Genomic DNA, 15,488 nt, shown 5'->3' on the forward strand with positions numbered 1-15,488 from the left:
GAAGCAATCCTCCTGCCTTGGCCTCCTGAGTAGCTGGGCTTACAGACGTGTGCCACCATGCCTGGCTCATTTTGGTATTTTTAGTAGAGATGGGGTTTCACCATGTTGGCCAGGCTGGTCTTGAACTCCTGGGTCAAGTGATCCTCCCCATCTGGGCCTCCCAAAGTGCTGGAATTACAGGCGTGAGCCATCATACCTGGCCAATATATTTATTTCAAAATATCATGTTATATATGATAAATTTTACCTGTCAAGAAAAGCAACAAGAACAATATAAAATGTTTTGATGCTTTGTAGTCAAATACATTCACAAAGGTTGCCCTTAAAGAAATTCAAGGCCATGTGCGGTGGCTCAAGCCTGTAATCTCAGCACTTTGGGAGGCCGAGGTGGGTGGATCACCTGAGGTCAGGAGTTTATGACCAGCCTGGCCAACACAGTGAAACCCCATTTCTACTATAAACACAAAAATTAGCTGGGTGTGGTGATGCACCCCTGTAATCCCAGCTAATCAGGAGGCTGAGGCAGGAGAATTGCTTGAACTCAGGAGGCGGAGGTTGCAGTGAGTCGAGATCATGTCACTGCACTCCAGCCCAGGCTACAGAGCAATACTATCTCAAAAAATAACATATGAAAAAAATTTGGCTAGGCACAGTGGCTCACACCTGTAATCTCAACAGTTAGGGAGGCTGAGGAAGGAGGATCACTTGAGGCCAGAAGTTTGAGACCAGTATGGGCAGCATGGTGAAACCCCATCTCTCCAAAACATACAAAAATTAGCCTGGTGTGGCTGGGCACGGTGGCTCAGTCTGTAATCCCAGCACTTTGGGAGGCCGAGGTGGGTGGATCACGAGGTTAGAGATTGAGACCATCCTGGCTAATATGGTGAAACCCCGTCTCTACTAAAAATACAAAAAATTAGCTGGGCATGGTGGCACCTGCCTGTAGTCCCAGCTACTCAGGAGGCCGAGGCAGGAGAATCGCTTGAACCCAGGAGGCAGAGGTTGCAGTGAGCCGAGATCACGCTACTGCACTCCAGCCTGGTGACAAAGCAAGACTCCGTCTCAAAAAAAAAAAAAAAAAAAAAAAAAGAAATTAGCCGGGTGTGGTTGCACATGCTTGTTTTCCCAGCTACTCGTGATGCTGGAGCAAGAGGATCGCTTGAGTCCAGGAGTTTGGGGCTGCAGTGAGCCATGATTGTGCCACTGCACTCCAGCCTGGGTGACAGAGCATATCAGTGTCTCAAAAATTTAAAAAAAAAAAAAGTAAAAAAAAGAAAAAAATTTGGAGACCCACACAGCAGGATGACCATGTGAAGACAGAAGGCAGTGATCTGCAGGCCCAGGACAGAGGCCTCAGAAGAACTTAACCTGCCCACTCCTTGTCTTGGACTTCCAGCAGCCCCCCACCTGCCTTGAGAAAATAGATTTATGTGGTGAAGCCACCCAGTCTTTGGCACTTTTTTCCCCCCTGAGATGGAGTCTCACCGTATCACCCAGGCTGGAGTGCAGTGGCACAATCCCGGCTCACTGCAACCTCCGCCTCCCAGGTTCAAGCGATTCTCCTGCCTCAGCCTCCCAAGCAGCTGGGATTACAGGCGCCCGCCACCACACCCTCCTGATTTTTGTATTTTTTGTAGAGATGGCATTTTGCCATGTTGGCCAGGCTGGTCTCAAACTCCTGACCTCAAGTGATCTGCCCGCCTTCACCTGTCAACATACTGGGATTACAGACGTGAGCCACGGCACCTGGCTTTGTGACACTTTTTTATGGCAGCCGTAGCCAACGAATACACCATCCCGTGATAGAACCTTTGTGACTGATCCCCATGAGAGGCCACGGTGGGGACCACCTGAAACGCCCAGACCAGCCTGCACTCACCTCAGGTTCTGAAGTTTGCAGTTGGGGTGTCTGAGTCCTTGACAGAGCAGCTTCACCCCCCGGCTGCCCAGGGCATTTCGGTACAGAGACAGCTCTATCAGGTTTGGATTGGTGCACAGGGCCGCTGCCAGATGTTCACTGTAGGCGTCCAGCAGAACGGTCCTCTCTGGTCTGCTTGAAGGAAAGACAGGCCACTCTCTGGTGTTACTGGTGCTTGACAACTATGGCCTTTGCATGTCATTTCACCGTTTATGAAGCATGCTATCCTTTTTTGAGACGGAGTTTCGCTCTTGTTGCCCAGGCTGGAGTGCAATGGCGCAATCTCAGCTCACCACAACCTCCGCCTCCTGGGTTCAAGCGATTCTCCTGCCTCAGCCTCCAGAGTAGCTGGGATTACAGGCATGAGCCACCACGCCCAGTTAATTTTGTATTTTTAGTAGAGATGGGGTTTCACCGTGTTGGCCAGGCTGATCTCGTACTCCTGACCTCAGGTGATCTGCCCGCCTCAACCTCCTGAAGTGCTGGGATTACAGGCGTGAGCCACCACATCCGGCCAAAGCATGCTATCTTTTCATTTTTTTTTTTAGAGGGCCTTGCCCTGTTGTCTAGGCTGGAGTGCATGGTGAGATCATGGCTCACTGTAGGCTTGACCTCCCAGGCTTAAGCAATCCTCCCACCTCAGCCTACTGAGAAGCTGGGGCTACAGGTGTGCACCATCATGACCAGCTAATTTATTTTATATTTTTAGAGATGGGGATCTCATCATGTTGTCCAGGCTGCACCTGGCTCTATCTGACGCTCCTAATCATTGATAGTTGGTTTACTTGTTTCCCTCTTTATTATCTGTCTCCGTTCTCATTAGGATGCGTGCTCTCTTGGGACCATTGGCTTATTCACACAGTCTTCTGTCTACAGAAGATTGTTGGGTCCACCGATAAAAGGGATATAGAGGCTGGGTGTGGTGGCTCACACCTATAATCCCAGCACTTTGGGAGGCTGAGGCCGAGAGTTTGAGACCAGCCTGGCCAACATGGTGACACCCCATCTCTACTAAAAAAATACAAAAATTAGCTGGGTGTGGTGGCACACTCCTGTGGTCCCAGCTGCTCAGGAGGCTGAGACACGCAAGGTGGAGGTTGCAGTGAGCTGAGATTGTGCCCCTGCACTCCAGCCTTGGTGACAGAGCCACACTCTCTCAAGAAAAAGGGACTTAGTAATATTTGTTGATTGAATAAATTCTCCCAGACATCGACCTCAATTTAGTCCCAATGGGTGTTGTTTAGTCTTTGTGGCACTATTGACACTTTGGGGCCAGAGGGACTGTCCTGTGTACTGTAGGATGTTTGCAGCATTCCCGGCCTTTATCCACTAGATGTCAGTAGTATTATTTGCTTCCCAGTTGTGACCACCAAAAACGTGTCTCCAAACATCGCCAAATGTCAGAGCAAAATCACCCCCAGCTGAGAGGCACTGGTTAAGAGCATGAACCTCAAGGCCAAGGTGGGTGGATCACTTGAGGTCAGGAGTTCAAGACCAGCCTGGCTAACACAGCGAAACCCCATCTCCACTAAAAATACAAAAATTATCCTGGCATGGTGATGGGCACCTGTAATCCCAGCTACTCAGGAGGCTGAGGCAGGAGAATCGCTTGAACCCGGGAGGCAGAGGCTGCAGTGAGCCAAGATTGCGCCACTGCACACCAGCCTAGGAGACCAAGAGAGACTTAGTTTAAAAAAAAAAAAAAAAAAAAATCGTGGGCCGGGTGCAGTGGCTCATGCCTGTAATCCCAGCACTTTGGGAGGCCAAGGCGGGCAGATCACGAGGTCAAGAGATCGAGACCACCCTGGCCAACATGGTGAAACCCTGTCTCTACTAAAAATACAAAAATTAGGTGGGCGTGGTGGCGTGCACCTGTAGTCCCAGCTACTTGGGAGGCTGAAGCAGGAGAATCTCTTGAACCCGGGAGGCGGAGGTTGCAGTGAGCTGAGGTCACGCCAGTGTACTCCAGCCTAGGCAACAGAGCAAAAAAAAAAAAAAAAAAAAAAAACACACGAACCTAAGCAGCCCCAGGGGATACCCCAGGGATACTTACAGCTGCACCAACAGCGTGTGCGCTCCTGCGGAGCACCTCGCGCGGTCTTCCCCGTCCGCGCTGTAGGTGGCGCCATACAAGTGCAGCACCTGGGCGCTCCTGCAGCGCTTCAGACAGAACGAGGAGACCATGTGCTCCATCTTGGAGGCAATGTTGCTGACCACGATCACCTGGAAGTGGCTCAGGGCCTGCTGGATAAACTCCTCCTCCTGGATCTCGTACAAGCAGCTGAAGAACTCCAAGGAGCCCTGCTGCAGGGTGGAGCCGTCGCTCTGAGCTTTGCTTTGGATCCACTGCAACAGGTCCATCTTGATGTGCGGCGAGACCTTCCAGCAGAGACTCTTCTCCAGGTGGCTCCTGGTCTCCTCGTTCAGGAGTCCAAACAGGAAGCGGCTGGTGAGTGCCAGGAAGCTCCTTTCAGAAAACGCGTACTCGGTCAACAGCCTGGTCACGTCCTGGTCTGGGCCTGCCCCGCCCTCCCCCTCGTCCAGGATATAGTACATAGCTGCAAAGAATTCCTGGAAACTCAAGTGGATGAAGCTGTAGTACCTCTCACAGTTGATGTCCTTCTGGAAGATGTTCATGTTGAGGAAGGCAGAGACGTCTTCCCCGTCTAGGCCGTGCTTCCGGAGGTCCTGCTCCTCAAATAGGATTTTCTGATTCCAGAGCCCATCTGCCGCCAAGGAGCACAACCCTCTCTGGTTGGGTGGGGGCTGGAGGCGCGGGGCCCCCGGCTTGGGTTGCATCAGACTCAGCAGGTAGAGCATGTACACTGCAGTGGTGGTCCTGGACGTCTGTCTCAACAGCCCCCCACCCTCCAGCTGCTGCTGGAGGCAGGTACACACCACCCAGCACACCAGGGGGACGAAGCACATGGTGAAGAGAGGCTCGTTGTCCCTCACGTAATTGAAGACTTGGCCCGCCTGCTCTGCATTGTGGAAATACTTGTAGAAGTATTCCTTCCTTTCTGCCTCAGAGAAGCCCAGGATCTCCACATGCCTGGGGTGCTCCAGCAGACGGTGGAGCTTCTCCAAAGCCGTGGGCCGTGTGGTGATGAGCAAAGATAGCTCAGGGAGCAGCTTCTTCCGAATTAAGCTGTTAAGAAGCAGCTCCGTGGGCCGTTTCTCCTCCCAGCAGAGGCACCAGGGTCCCTGAGGATCGTGGAAAGAAGGCTTGAGCTCATCGAAGCCGTCGATGATGAAAAGGAGGCGCTCGGGAACTCGGATGAGCTCCTGGAGAGGCGCGCTGGGCTCAGGCCAGCAGCTGAAGATGAGGTCTTGCATGCTGCATTCCGTGGCACTCTGGTTCATCTCCCTGCAGTTGATGTAGAAGAGATAATCAAATCTGCCTTGGAAGAGCTTCCCGTCCGCCCAGTCCAGCATCACCTTGTGTGCCAGCATGGACTTGCCTATCCCTGCCGCGCCTTGCATGACCACGGTGCGCGGTGGCTCGGGGCGCTCCTCGTCTGGCTCAAAGAGGGTCTCTATCTTGATGGGGCTAGCCTGGTGTCCCACGGTCCTCGCGTGTCCCCGGCCTGTGTCCAGAAGCTGCTGCTGGACCTGCATGGGGTTTGAGTGCTCCTTCACCAGCAGGAGCCGGGTGTACCGGTGGCTGAGGTTGACACATTCCCCTAGGCGCGCATTGCGGTCTTCCATGAGCCGGAATTTCCTGCGGACATAGTCCCTGTAGGTTTCCTGGGGATCTAGGGGAGAGGAATGAAGGTTTTGTGGAAGACTCATCAGCAGCCTCTAATGAGTTCACGAGGTAAAGCGCTCCTCATGTGGCTCAAAGAAGGTGTGTGCCTGTAGTTCCAGCTACTCAGGAGGCTGAGATGGGAGAATCACTTGAACCCCTGAGGTGGAGGTTGCAGTGAGCTGAGATCGCACCACTGCACTCTAGCCTGGGCAACAGAGCCAGACTCCATCTCAAAAAAAAATTTTTTTTAATTAAAATAATTTATTTGTTTTGAGACTAGGTTATAAGACTGGCTAATTTTTTTTTTTTTTAGATGGAGTCTCGCTCTGTTGCCCAGCTTGGAGTGCAATGGTGTGCTCCCTGCAACATCCACCTCCTGGGTTCAAGTGATTCTCCAGTCTCAGCCTCCCGAGTAGCTGGGATTACAGGCACATGCCACCAGGCCTGGCTAATTTTTGTATTTTTAGTAGAGACGGGGTTTCACTATGTTGGCCAGGATGGTCTCGATCTCTTGACCTCATGATCTGCCCACCTCGGCCTTCCAAAGTGCTAGGATTAGAGGCATGAGCCACTGTGTCCAGCCCCACAAAGTGACTTTCAGCAAAGGATTTATAGAACGGGTACATTACCAGATAGTGCAGACATGAATCTGCCTTTTTTCAAAGGGGGCACAAGCCAGGTGCGGTGGCTCACGCCTGTAATCCCAGCACTTTGGGAGGTCCAGGTGGGAGGATCGCCTGAACTCAGGAGTTTGAGACCAGCCGGAGCAACATAGTGAGACCCTGTCTCTATAAAAACAAAAGAAAGAGAAAACAAAGGGGGCACAGAAAACTTGGGAGCAGTGCTTCTCAAACTTTTTTTTTTTTTCAGTACAGACAGGGTCTTGCTGTGTTATCCAGGCTGGTCTACAACTACTAGCCTCAAACAATCCTCCTGCCTGAGCCCCGCAAAATGCTGAGATTACAGGCATGAACCACCATGCCTGGCTGTGCTTCTCCAACTTTAAGACGCATACATATCATGCAGCAATCTTGTTAGAAATGCAGTCCCTGGGCTAAGTGCAGTGGCTCACACCTGTAAGAGATCGCCCCACTGCACTCCAGCCTGGGCGACAGCGTGAGACTCTGCCTCAAAAAAAAAAAAAAAAAATCTAGAACAATGTTCTTAATTGGGGTGACTGTGTCCCCTAGTTCCCCAGGGGACATTTGGCAACGGGACAAGTGGGTTGGTTGTTACAACTGGGAAAGTACTACTGCCACATAGTGGATAGAGGCCAGAGGTGCTGCTCAACATCCCAGGAACCACAGGACGACCCCATAGCAAAGAACGCTCTGGCCCCGAAATGCCAACAGTGCCAATGTGGAGAAACCCTGGTCTGGATACAAATGCATCCCTTGGTATTGGATGCCAGCAGAGGCCCATGATAGCTGCCTGAGAGAAGCTTAAAAAAAAGAATCTGAGTTTGATACTAAAATTTTCAAAACAAATATGTGTACTTTTAATTATAGTGACATACACATAAAATTTACCATTTTAACCACTTTAAAGCGTACAACTCTGTGACACTAAGTTCACGATGTTGTGCAATCATCAATATCTCTTTTTTTTTTTTTTTTTGAGACAGAGTGTTGCTCTGTCCCCCAGGCTGGAGTGCAGTGGCATGATCTAGGCTCACTGCAAACTCCGCCTCCCAGGCTCAAGTGATTCTCCTGCCTCAGTCTCCTGAGTAACTCGATTTACAGGTGCTCGCCACCACACCCAGCTGATTTTTGTATTTTTAGTAGAGACGGAGTTTCACCATGTTGGCCAGGCTGGTTTCGAACTCCTGACCTCAAGTGATCTGCCCGCCTCGGCCTCTCAAAGTGCTGGAATTACAGACGTGAGCCACTGTGCCTGGCCGCCAATGTCTATTTCCAGAATGCTTTCAGCATTCTAAACAGAAACTCCATATCCATTAAATATTAACTCATAATTTCTCCTCTCCCTGGCAACTGCTATTCTTTTTTTTTTTTCTTTTCTTTTTTTTTTTTTTTTTTTTTGAGACAGAGTCTTGCTCTGTCACCTGGGCTGGAGTGCGGCGGCACGATTCGGCTTACTGCAAGCTCCGCCTCCCAGGCTCACACCATTCTCCTGCCTCAGCCTCCCAAGTAGCTCAGACTACAGGTGCCTGCCACCACGCCTGGCTAATTTTTTTGTATTTTTAGTAGAGACAAGGTTTCACCGTGTTAGCCAGGATGGTCTCGATCTCCTGACCTCATGATCTGCCCGCCTGAGCCTCCTAAAGTGCTGGGATTACAGGCGTGAGCCACCATGCCGGGCGTGGCAACTGCTGTTCTACTTTCCGCCTCTGAATTTGACTACTCTAGGTGCCTTAGATAAGTGGAATCATACAATATTTGTACCCCTCTCCCGCCTTTTTTTTTGAGACAGGGTCTTTCTCACTCCCCCCAGGCTGGAGTGCAGTGGCGTGACCTTGGCTCACTGCAACTTCAACCTCCTGGGCTCAACTAATCCTCCCACCTCAGCCTCCTGAGTAGCTGGATCTACAGGCACAAGTTTCCATGCCCAGCTAATGTTCGATTTTTTGTTTTTTTTTGTAGAGATGGGGTCTTGCTTGTTGCCCAGGCTGGTCTCAGAGCCTGGCCTCCCAAAGTGCAGGGATTACAGGCGTGAGCCACCTTGCTCAGCTGGTGAACCCACTCTTATTCTACTTTAGTAGAGCTGGAGACTAGATTCATTTCATGCTCCCCTTGAAAAAAATAGCCAGAAACATTTGTGGCATTGTTAACAGTGTTGCTGTCTACCCAGCAGACTGTACCCCGGTTTCTTCCCTGCCAGCAAACCTGATTCTGTTTGGTTGGTGGATGCTGATTCATGACTCGAGTGAGTGGTGAATCCTGCCCCTTCACAAGCCTCAGAGGATGAATTATGGTTTTGCTAAATCAGTCATGAGTAACCTCGTTCCCCTCTGTCAGTGGTTGCTCTGAGAATGGGCAGATTCCCCAGTACTGACCAGTGGGTTACGTGGATGTGACTGGTAACAGGGAGGAAGAAGGCCTTTACCCTTCCTTTCTTTGCTTTTTTTTTAAGAGATGGAGTCTCACTCTGTTGCCCAGGCTGGAGTGCAGTGGTGCAATCTTGGCTCACTGCAACCTCTACCTCCCAGGTTCAAGTGATTCTTCTGCCTCAGCCTCTGAGTAGCTGGGACTACAGGTATGCTCCACCACACCCTGCTAATTTTGTATTTTTAGTAGAGACGGGGTTTTGCCATGTTGTCCGGGCTGGTCTTGAACTCCTGACCTCAGGTGATCTGCCCGCTTTGGCCTCCCAAAGTGCTGGGATTACAGGCGTGAGCCACTGTACCTGGCCTCTTAGCCTTCCTTGTTGCCCCTGCGTGTATGAGATGGTTTGGTAGCCATCTTTCAGCCAGGAGATGACACGTGTCAGGACAAAATGCTGACGTGGAAAGGTTGATGAGTTGAAACACAGGAGGAAACTGCCCCTTTGATGGTGTCATTAATCCACCCCACGAATTCCTCAATCACGCGTTTGTGGTTGGCCTACACTCCGTGGGGTCAGCTGCTCTGTGTAGATGAATACATGTAGGTACATGGCTTGAGGCTCACCTTTTCTTGGAGTGACAAGAGAGACTTCCAGAAGGCATGTTGACTGGTTCCCAAGTGAGGACGGGCCACCAGGTGGGGTATCTGGAAGAGAAATTGTGGAAGATGAGCTAGCACGCATCTGGCTAGTAGCACCGCGTCATATTAGCTGCGATTACGTCGAAATGCCTGCATAACTCCCTGGTCACCCGCACCCCAGAATGTTCAGTAGTGACTGCATAGGCCGTGTGTGGGAAATAGCTCATCCCTTGTTCCTTGTAGCGCACCCTCCTCCCTGGGTCCCCCTCATGGTCATTGGCACCTCCATCCATCCAATCAGTCTTTTTTTTTTTTTTTTTTTTTGAGACGGAGTCTTGCTCTGTTGCCCAGGCTGGAATGCAGTGGCATGATCTCGGCTCACCACAACCTCCACCTCCTGAATTCAAGCGATTCTCCTGCCTCAGCCTCACGAGTAGCTGGCATTACAGGTGTGCGCCACAATGCCTGGCTAATTTTTGTATTTTTAGTAGAGACGGGGTTTCACTATGTTGGCCAGGCTGGTCTTGAACTCCTGACCTTGTGATCCACCTGCCTTGGCCTCCCAAAGTGCTGGGTTTACAGATGTGAGCCACTGCACCTGGCACCAACCAATCTTTTTGACTGGGAAGTTCTGAGTCAGTCTGGACTCCTCCCTTGTCAGCTCTGGGCCACATCTCATCCATTATCTTTTCTTTTTTCTTTTCGAGACGGAGTCTGGCTCTGTTGCCCAGGCTGGAGTGCAGTGGCACAATCTTGGCTCACTGCAACCTCTGCCTCCCGGGTTCAAGTGATTCTCCTGCCTCAGCCTCCTGAGTAGCTGGGACTACAGGCATGTGTCACCACGCCCGGATAATTTATTTTGTATTTTTAGTAGAGACAGGGTTTCACCATGTGGGTCAGGCTGGTCTTGAACTCCTGACCTCGTGATCCACCCAACTCGGCCTCCCAAAGTGCTGGGATTACAGGCGTGAGCCACTGCGCCTGGCGACTCTGTCTCTTAAAAATATTTTAATTTTTTTTTTTTTTTTTGGTAGAGATTAGGTCTCAGTATGTTACCCAGGCTGGTCTGGAACTCCTAGCTTCAAGCAGTCTTTCGACCTTGGCCTCTTGAAGTGTTGGAAATAGTGGTATGGGCCATCGTGCCCAGCCCAAAAAAGGCCTTCGTTTGGATATATCATAAGATTCTACACATCGAGTCCTTCCTTGGCATCTTTGGTCCTCAGAAGGCCCCCCAAAGTCCTAAGTGTGAGTTCCTTTGCTCTCACTCCATGAGAAAGTCTTCCCACCTGGCTAGTTCTCCCATCAGCTGAGCCAGCGGCACCCCATCTGGTCCTCACTCTGATAAGTTTTCACCTCCCTGCTGGTTGCTAGTCCATGAAATGATTCATGAAAGCAAAGAACATCCTTTTGAAGGAGCCAGGAGGCACCCCACCCTCTTGTTACTACACAGCCCGCCCCCCCCAACAGTCTCTGTAGCTTCATGTGACCCTCTTGGCATATGGGGACACCTTCCCTGTGAGTCTGTGTGACTAATAAACTGTTGTCTTTCCTCTGTTCAGTGCTGGCTCTGGTAGATTCAGTCATCTGGCACCATTTTATTTATTTATTTTTATTTATTTGAGACAGTCTCGCTCTGTCGCCCAGGCTGGAGTGCAGTGGCGCGATCTCGGCTCACTACAATCTTCACCTCCCAGGTTTAAGTGATTCTCCTGCCTCAGTCTCCCGAGTAGCTGGGACTACAGGCACCCATGACCACGCAGGTGGTGGTAAAAATACAAAAAAATAATTTTTGTATTTTTAGTAGAGATGCGGTTTGACCATGTTGGCCAGGCTGGTCTTGAACTCCTGACCTCAGGTGATCTGCCTGCCTCGGCCTCCCAAAGTGCTGGGATTACAGGCGTGAGCTACTGCACCCGGCCACTCAAAAATTTTTAATTGGAGAAGGTTATCATTGAGAGGAAAGGGGAAAATAGGGAATTGTTTAATGGGTATCGAGTTTGTTTTGCAAGATGAAGAGTTCTGCAGATTGAATGCACATCAGTGTAAATGTACAACACTCAGCAGCACACTTAAAAATGGTTAAGAGGGCCAGGGCGCGGTGGCTCACGCCTGTAATCCCAGCACTTTGGGAGGCCAAGGCGGGTGGATCACAAGGTCAGGAGATCGAGACCATCCTGGGTAACACGGTGAAACCCCGTCTCTACTAAAAATACAAAAAAAAATTAGCTGGGCATGGTGGCAGGCACCTGTAGTCCCAGCAATTTGGGAGGCCGAGGCAGGTGGGATTACCTGATGTCAGGAGTTCAAGACTAGCCTTACCAACGTGGTGAAACCTTGTCTCTATTAAAAATACAAAAATGAGCCAGGCATGGTGGCGCGTGCCTGTAATCCCAGCTACTCGGGAGGCTGAGGCAGGAGAATCGCTTGAACCAGGGAGTCAGAGGTTGAAGTGTGCTGACATCGCATCATTGCACTCCAGCCTGGTGACGGAGCGAGACTCCATCTCAAGAAAGAAAAAGTGGTTAAGAGGAGGCTGGGCGCGGTGGCTCATGCCTGTAATCCCTGCACTTTGGGAGGCCAAGGTGGGTGGATTACCTGAGGTCAGGAGTTCAAGACCAGTCTGACCAACATGGAGAAACCCCATCTCTACTAAAAATACAAAAATTAGCTGGGCGTGGTGGCAGATGCCTGTAATCCCAGCTACTTGGGAGGCTGAGGCAGGATAATTGCTTGAACCCATGAGGCAGAGGTTGCAGTGAGCCGAGATCGCGCCACTGCACTCCAGCCTAGGCAACAAGAGTGAAATTCCATCTCAAAGAAAAAAAGAAAAAGAGGGCAAATTTCATGTTTTGTGTATTTTAGCACTATTTATTTATTTATTTATTTATGAGACAGAGTCTCACTGTGTCGTCCAGGCTGGTGTGATGTTGGCTCACTGCAACCTCTGCCTCCAGGGTTCAAGTGATTCTCCTGCCTCAGCCTCCGGAGTAGCTGGGATTACAGGCATGTACAACCACGACCAGCTAATTTTTGTATTTTTAGTAGAGACAGGGTTTCACCATGTTGGCCAGGCTGTTGTCAAATTCCTAGTCTCAAGTGATTCACGTGCCTCAGCCTCCAACATGCTGGGATTACAGGCATGAGCCACTGCAGCTGGTTGGCAATTTTTTTTTTTTTTTGAGAGAGGGTCTTGCTCTGTTGCTCAGGCTGGAGTAGTGTGGCATGATCTTGGCTCACTGCAGCCTTCACCTCCTGGGCTTAAGTGATCCTCCCATCTCAGCCTCCCAGGTAGCTGGGTCTGCAGGCATGCACCACTGTGCCTGGTCAATTTTGTAGAGAAGGGGTTTTGCCATGTTGCCTAGACCAGTCTCAAACTTCTGGGCTCAAGTGATCTGCCTGCCTCAGCCTCCCAAAGTGCTGGGATTATAGGTGTGGCCACATTTTTTTTTTTTAAAGGTAATCCAGGCCAGCGCGGTGGCTCACGCCTGTAATCCCAACATTTTGGGAGGCTGAGGTGGGTGGATCATGAGGTCAGGAGATTGAGACCATCCTGGCTAATATGGTGAAACCCCATCTCTACTATAAATACGAAATTAGCCGGGCGTGGTGGCGGGTGCCTGTAGTCCCAGGTACTCGGGAGGCTGAGGCAGGAGAATCGCTTGAACCCGGGAGGCGGAGGTTGCAGTGAGCCGAGAACGCACCACTGCACTCCGGCCTGGGTGACAGAGTGAGACTCCGTCTCAAAAAAATAAATAAATAAAAATAAAAAAGGTAATTCTTGAAAATTGCAGCTGAAAAAGGCCTCAGAGATGTTCTCCCTCAGTGTTTCCTAGGCATGCCGCGAGAACCAGCCACATCAAAATGCAGATTCCTGTTGCCTAAGACCTGCTGATTCAGAATCACGGGTTGAGGGTCTTGGATTCCCCATTGGCCACAAGTGTCTCGAGAGACTCTTACGCACAGTAACATGAGAACTGCCGATCTTGCCTGATGCCCTTGTTTTACAGATGGAGATGGAGGCCCAGGGGCATATCGATTCTCCAGCATCACACAGACAGAAAGAGCAAAGCTAGACATCTGTCTCCTTGGGAACGCTGAGCTGCCTCTCAGTAGACTAAACGGATGCAGTCCGGGGAAGAACGCTCGGCAAATGGTTATGCATTGTCAATGCTGGGAGAGATTTAGGCGGAAGAGGGAGAAAAGTGGGACTTTACTTTTGATTCTATATTTGTACATTATTTCCATTTCTTAAAATAACTATGTAACACTTCCATTTAGATATAATTATACAATATGACAAGTAAGTAAATTGATACTTTTTTCTTTCTTTTCTTTTTTTGAGATGGAGTCTCGCTTTTGTCATCCAGGCTGGAGTGCAGTGGCGTGATCTCGGCTCACTGCAACCTCCGCCTCCCGGGTTCAAGTGATTCTCCTGCCTCAGCCTCCCAAGTAGCTGGGATTACAGGCGTGTGCCACTACGCCTGGCTAATATATATATATATATATATATATATATATATATATATATATATATATGTGTGTGTGTGTGTGTGTGTGTGTGTATATACATATGTGTATATATATGTATACATATGTGTATATATGTGTGTATGTATACGTATATATATGTATGTATACGTATATATATGCGTATATATGTATGTATACGTATATACGCATATATATGTATGTATACGTATATACGCGTATATATGTATGTATACGTATATATATACACATGTATACATATATGTATGTATACATATATATACACACACACACACGTATATATATATGTATGTATGTATATTAAGACGGAGTTTTGCTCTTCTTGTCCAGGCTGGAGTGCAGTGGCGGGATCTTGGCTCACCACAACCTCCGTCTCCTGGGTGGTGGAGAAAAGGGAAAGAGAAAAAGAGAGGAGAGGGAGAGAAAAGAAAAGAAAGGAAGGAGGGAAGGAAAGGGAAAAGAAGGGAAAAGAAGGAAGGAAGGAGGGAAGAAAGGCTACAAACAAGTGTCTTTGGTTTTTTCAGTCATTAAAGACTTTGTTTTTTACAGAGATGTTTCCCAGCACACTACTACTGGCACACCTCATTAACGACGAGTCATTAAGCTTTGCAGAAGTGACTGTGTATATCCAGTTATTGGCAGGGCTTGCTTACTCATTCAGCAAATGTTCACCAAAGTTTGCTCGGTTCCTAGCCCCAGCCAGACACTGGAATCGCAGAGAATCACACAGGGGAGTCAAGACTCTTTCTGCCTTTGAAGGCGTCCATGTCACAGTAGAGAAAACAGGTGAGAAATTACATTAAAAACCACAGCTCAAGCAGGGTGCAGTGGCTCACGCCTGTAATTCCAGCATTTTGGGAGGCCGAGGTGGATGGATCACCTGAGGTTAGGAGTTCGAGACCAGCCTGACCAACACGGTGAAACCCCGTCTCTACTAAAAATACAAAAATTAGCTGGGTGTGGTGGCACGCACCTGTAGTCCCAGCTACTCAGGAGGCTGAGGCAGGAGAATCACTGGAACCCGGGAGGCGGAGCTTGCACTGAGCCAAGATTGTGCCACTGCACTCCAGCCTGGGCGACAGAGTGAGACTCTGTCTCAGAAACAAAACAAAACAAAAAACCACAGCTCAAATGGGGCTCTGTGGTGCACACCTGTAGTTCCAGCTGTTCAAGAGGCTGAGGCAGGCGGATCACTTCAGCCCAGGAGTTTGAGTCTAGCCTGGGCAACATAGTGAGACCCTATCTCTAAAAAATAAATTATTTTTTTTTTTTTTGAGACGGAGTCTTGCACTGTCACCCAGGCTGGAGTGCAGTGGCACAATCTCAGCTCACCGCAAGCTCTGCCTCCCAGGTTCACGCCATTCTCCTGCCTCAGCCTCCTGAGTAGCTGGGACTACAGGCGCCCATCACTGCGCCCAGCTAATTTTTTGTAAAAAATAAAAATATTTTTAAAAAAACAATTCCACAGCTCAAGTGCCATCTCTGCCACTTCAGCAATAGCCTATATTTGCTGAGCACTTGCTACCTGCTCTGAATTGTGTTAAGCACTTTGCATGTATTATCTCTTGAGCTTATGCCTGAGTATAAATCATATTTTTTCTTTTTTTTTTTTTTTTTTTTTTGAGACAGAGTCTTACTCTGTCACCCAGGCTGGAGTGCAGTGGCTTAATCT

The 15,488-nt window shown here is 49.5% G+C and overlaps 1 protein-coding gene across 15 annotated transcripts in view; it reads right to left on the reverse strand.

Annotated features, from left to right (window-relative positions):
* The window catches only part of NLRP12 (NLR family pyrin domain containing 12), a 30,820-nt gene that overhangs the window by 12,032 nt on the left and 3,300 nt on the right, over positions 1 to 15,488 (reverse strand). For 7 of the 15 annotated variants that reach the window (XM_011527479.2, XM_011527482.2, XM_011527480.2 and 4 more), the window contains exons 2-4: positions 9,293 to 9,373; positions 3,972 to 5,673; positions 1,880 to 2,053 (exon numbers count right to left, since the gene is read on the reverse strand). In XM_011527479.2, the coding sequence (XP_011525781.1) occupies positions 1,880 to 2,053; positions 3,972 to 5,673; positions 9,293 to 9,373 (1,957 nt within the window). 15 annotated transcript variants of the gene reach the window in all.

Source organism: Homo sapiens, chromosome 19 (genome assembly GCF_000001405.40).
Source record: "Homo sapiens chromosome 19, GRCh38.p14 Primary Assembly".
NCBI classification, from domain to species: domain Eukaryota; kingdom Metazoa; phylum Chordata; class Mammalia; order Primates; family Hominidae; genus Homo; species Homo sapiens.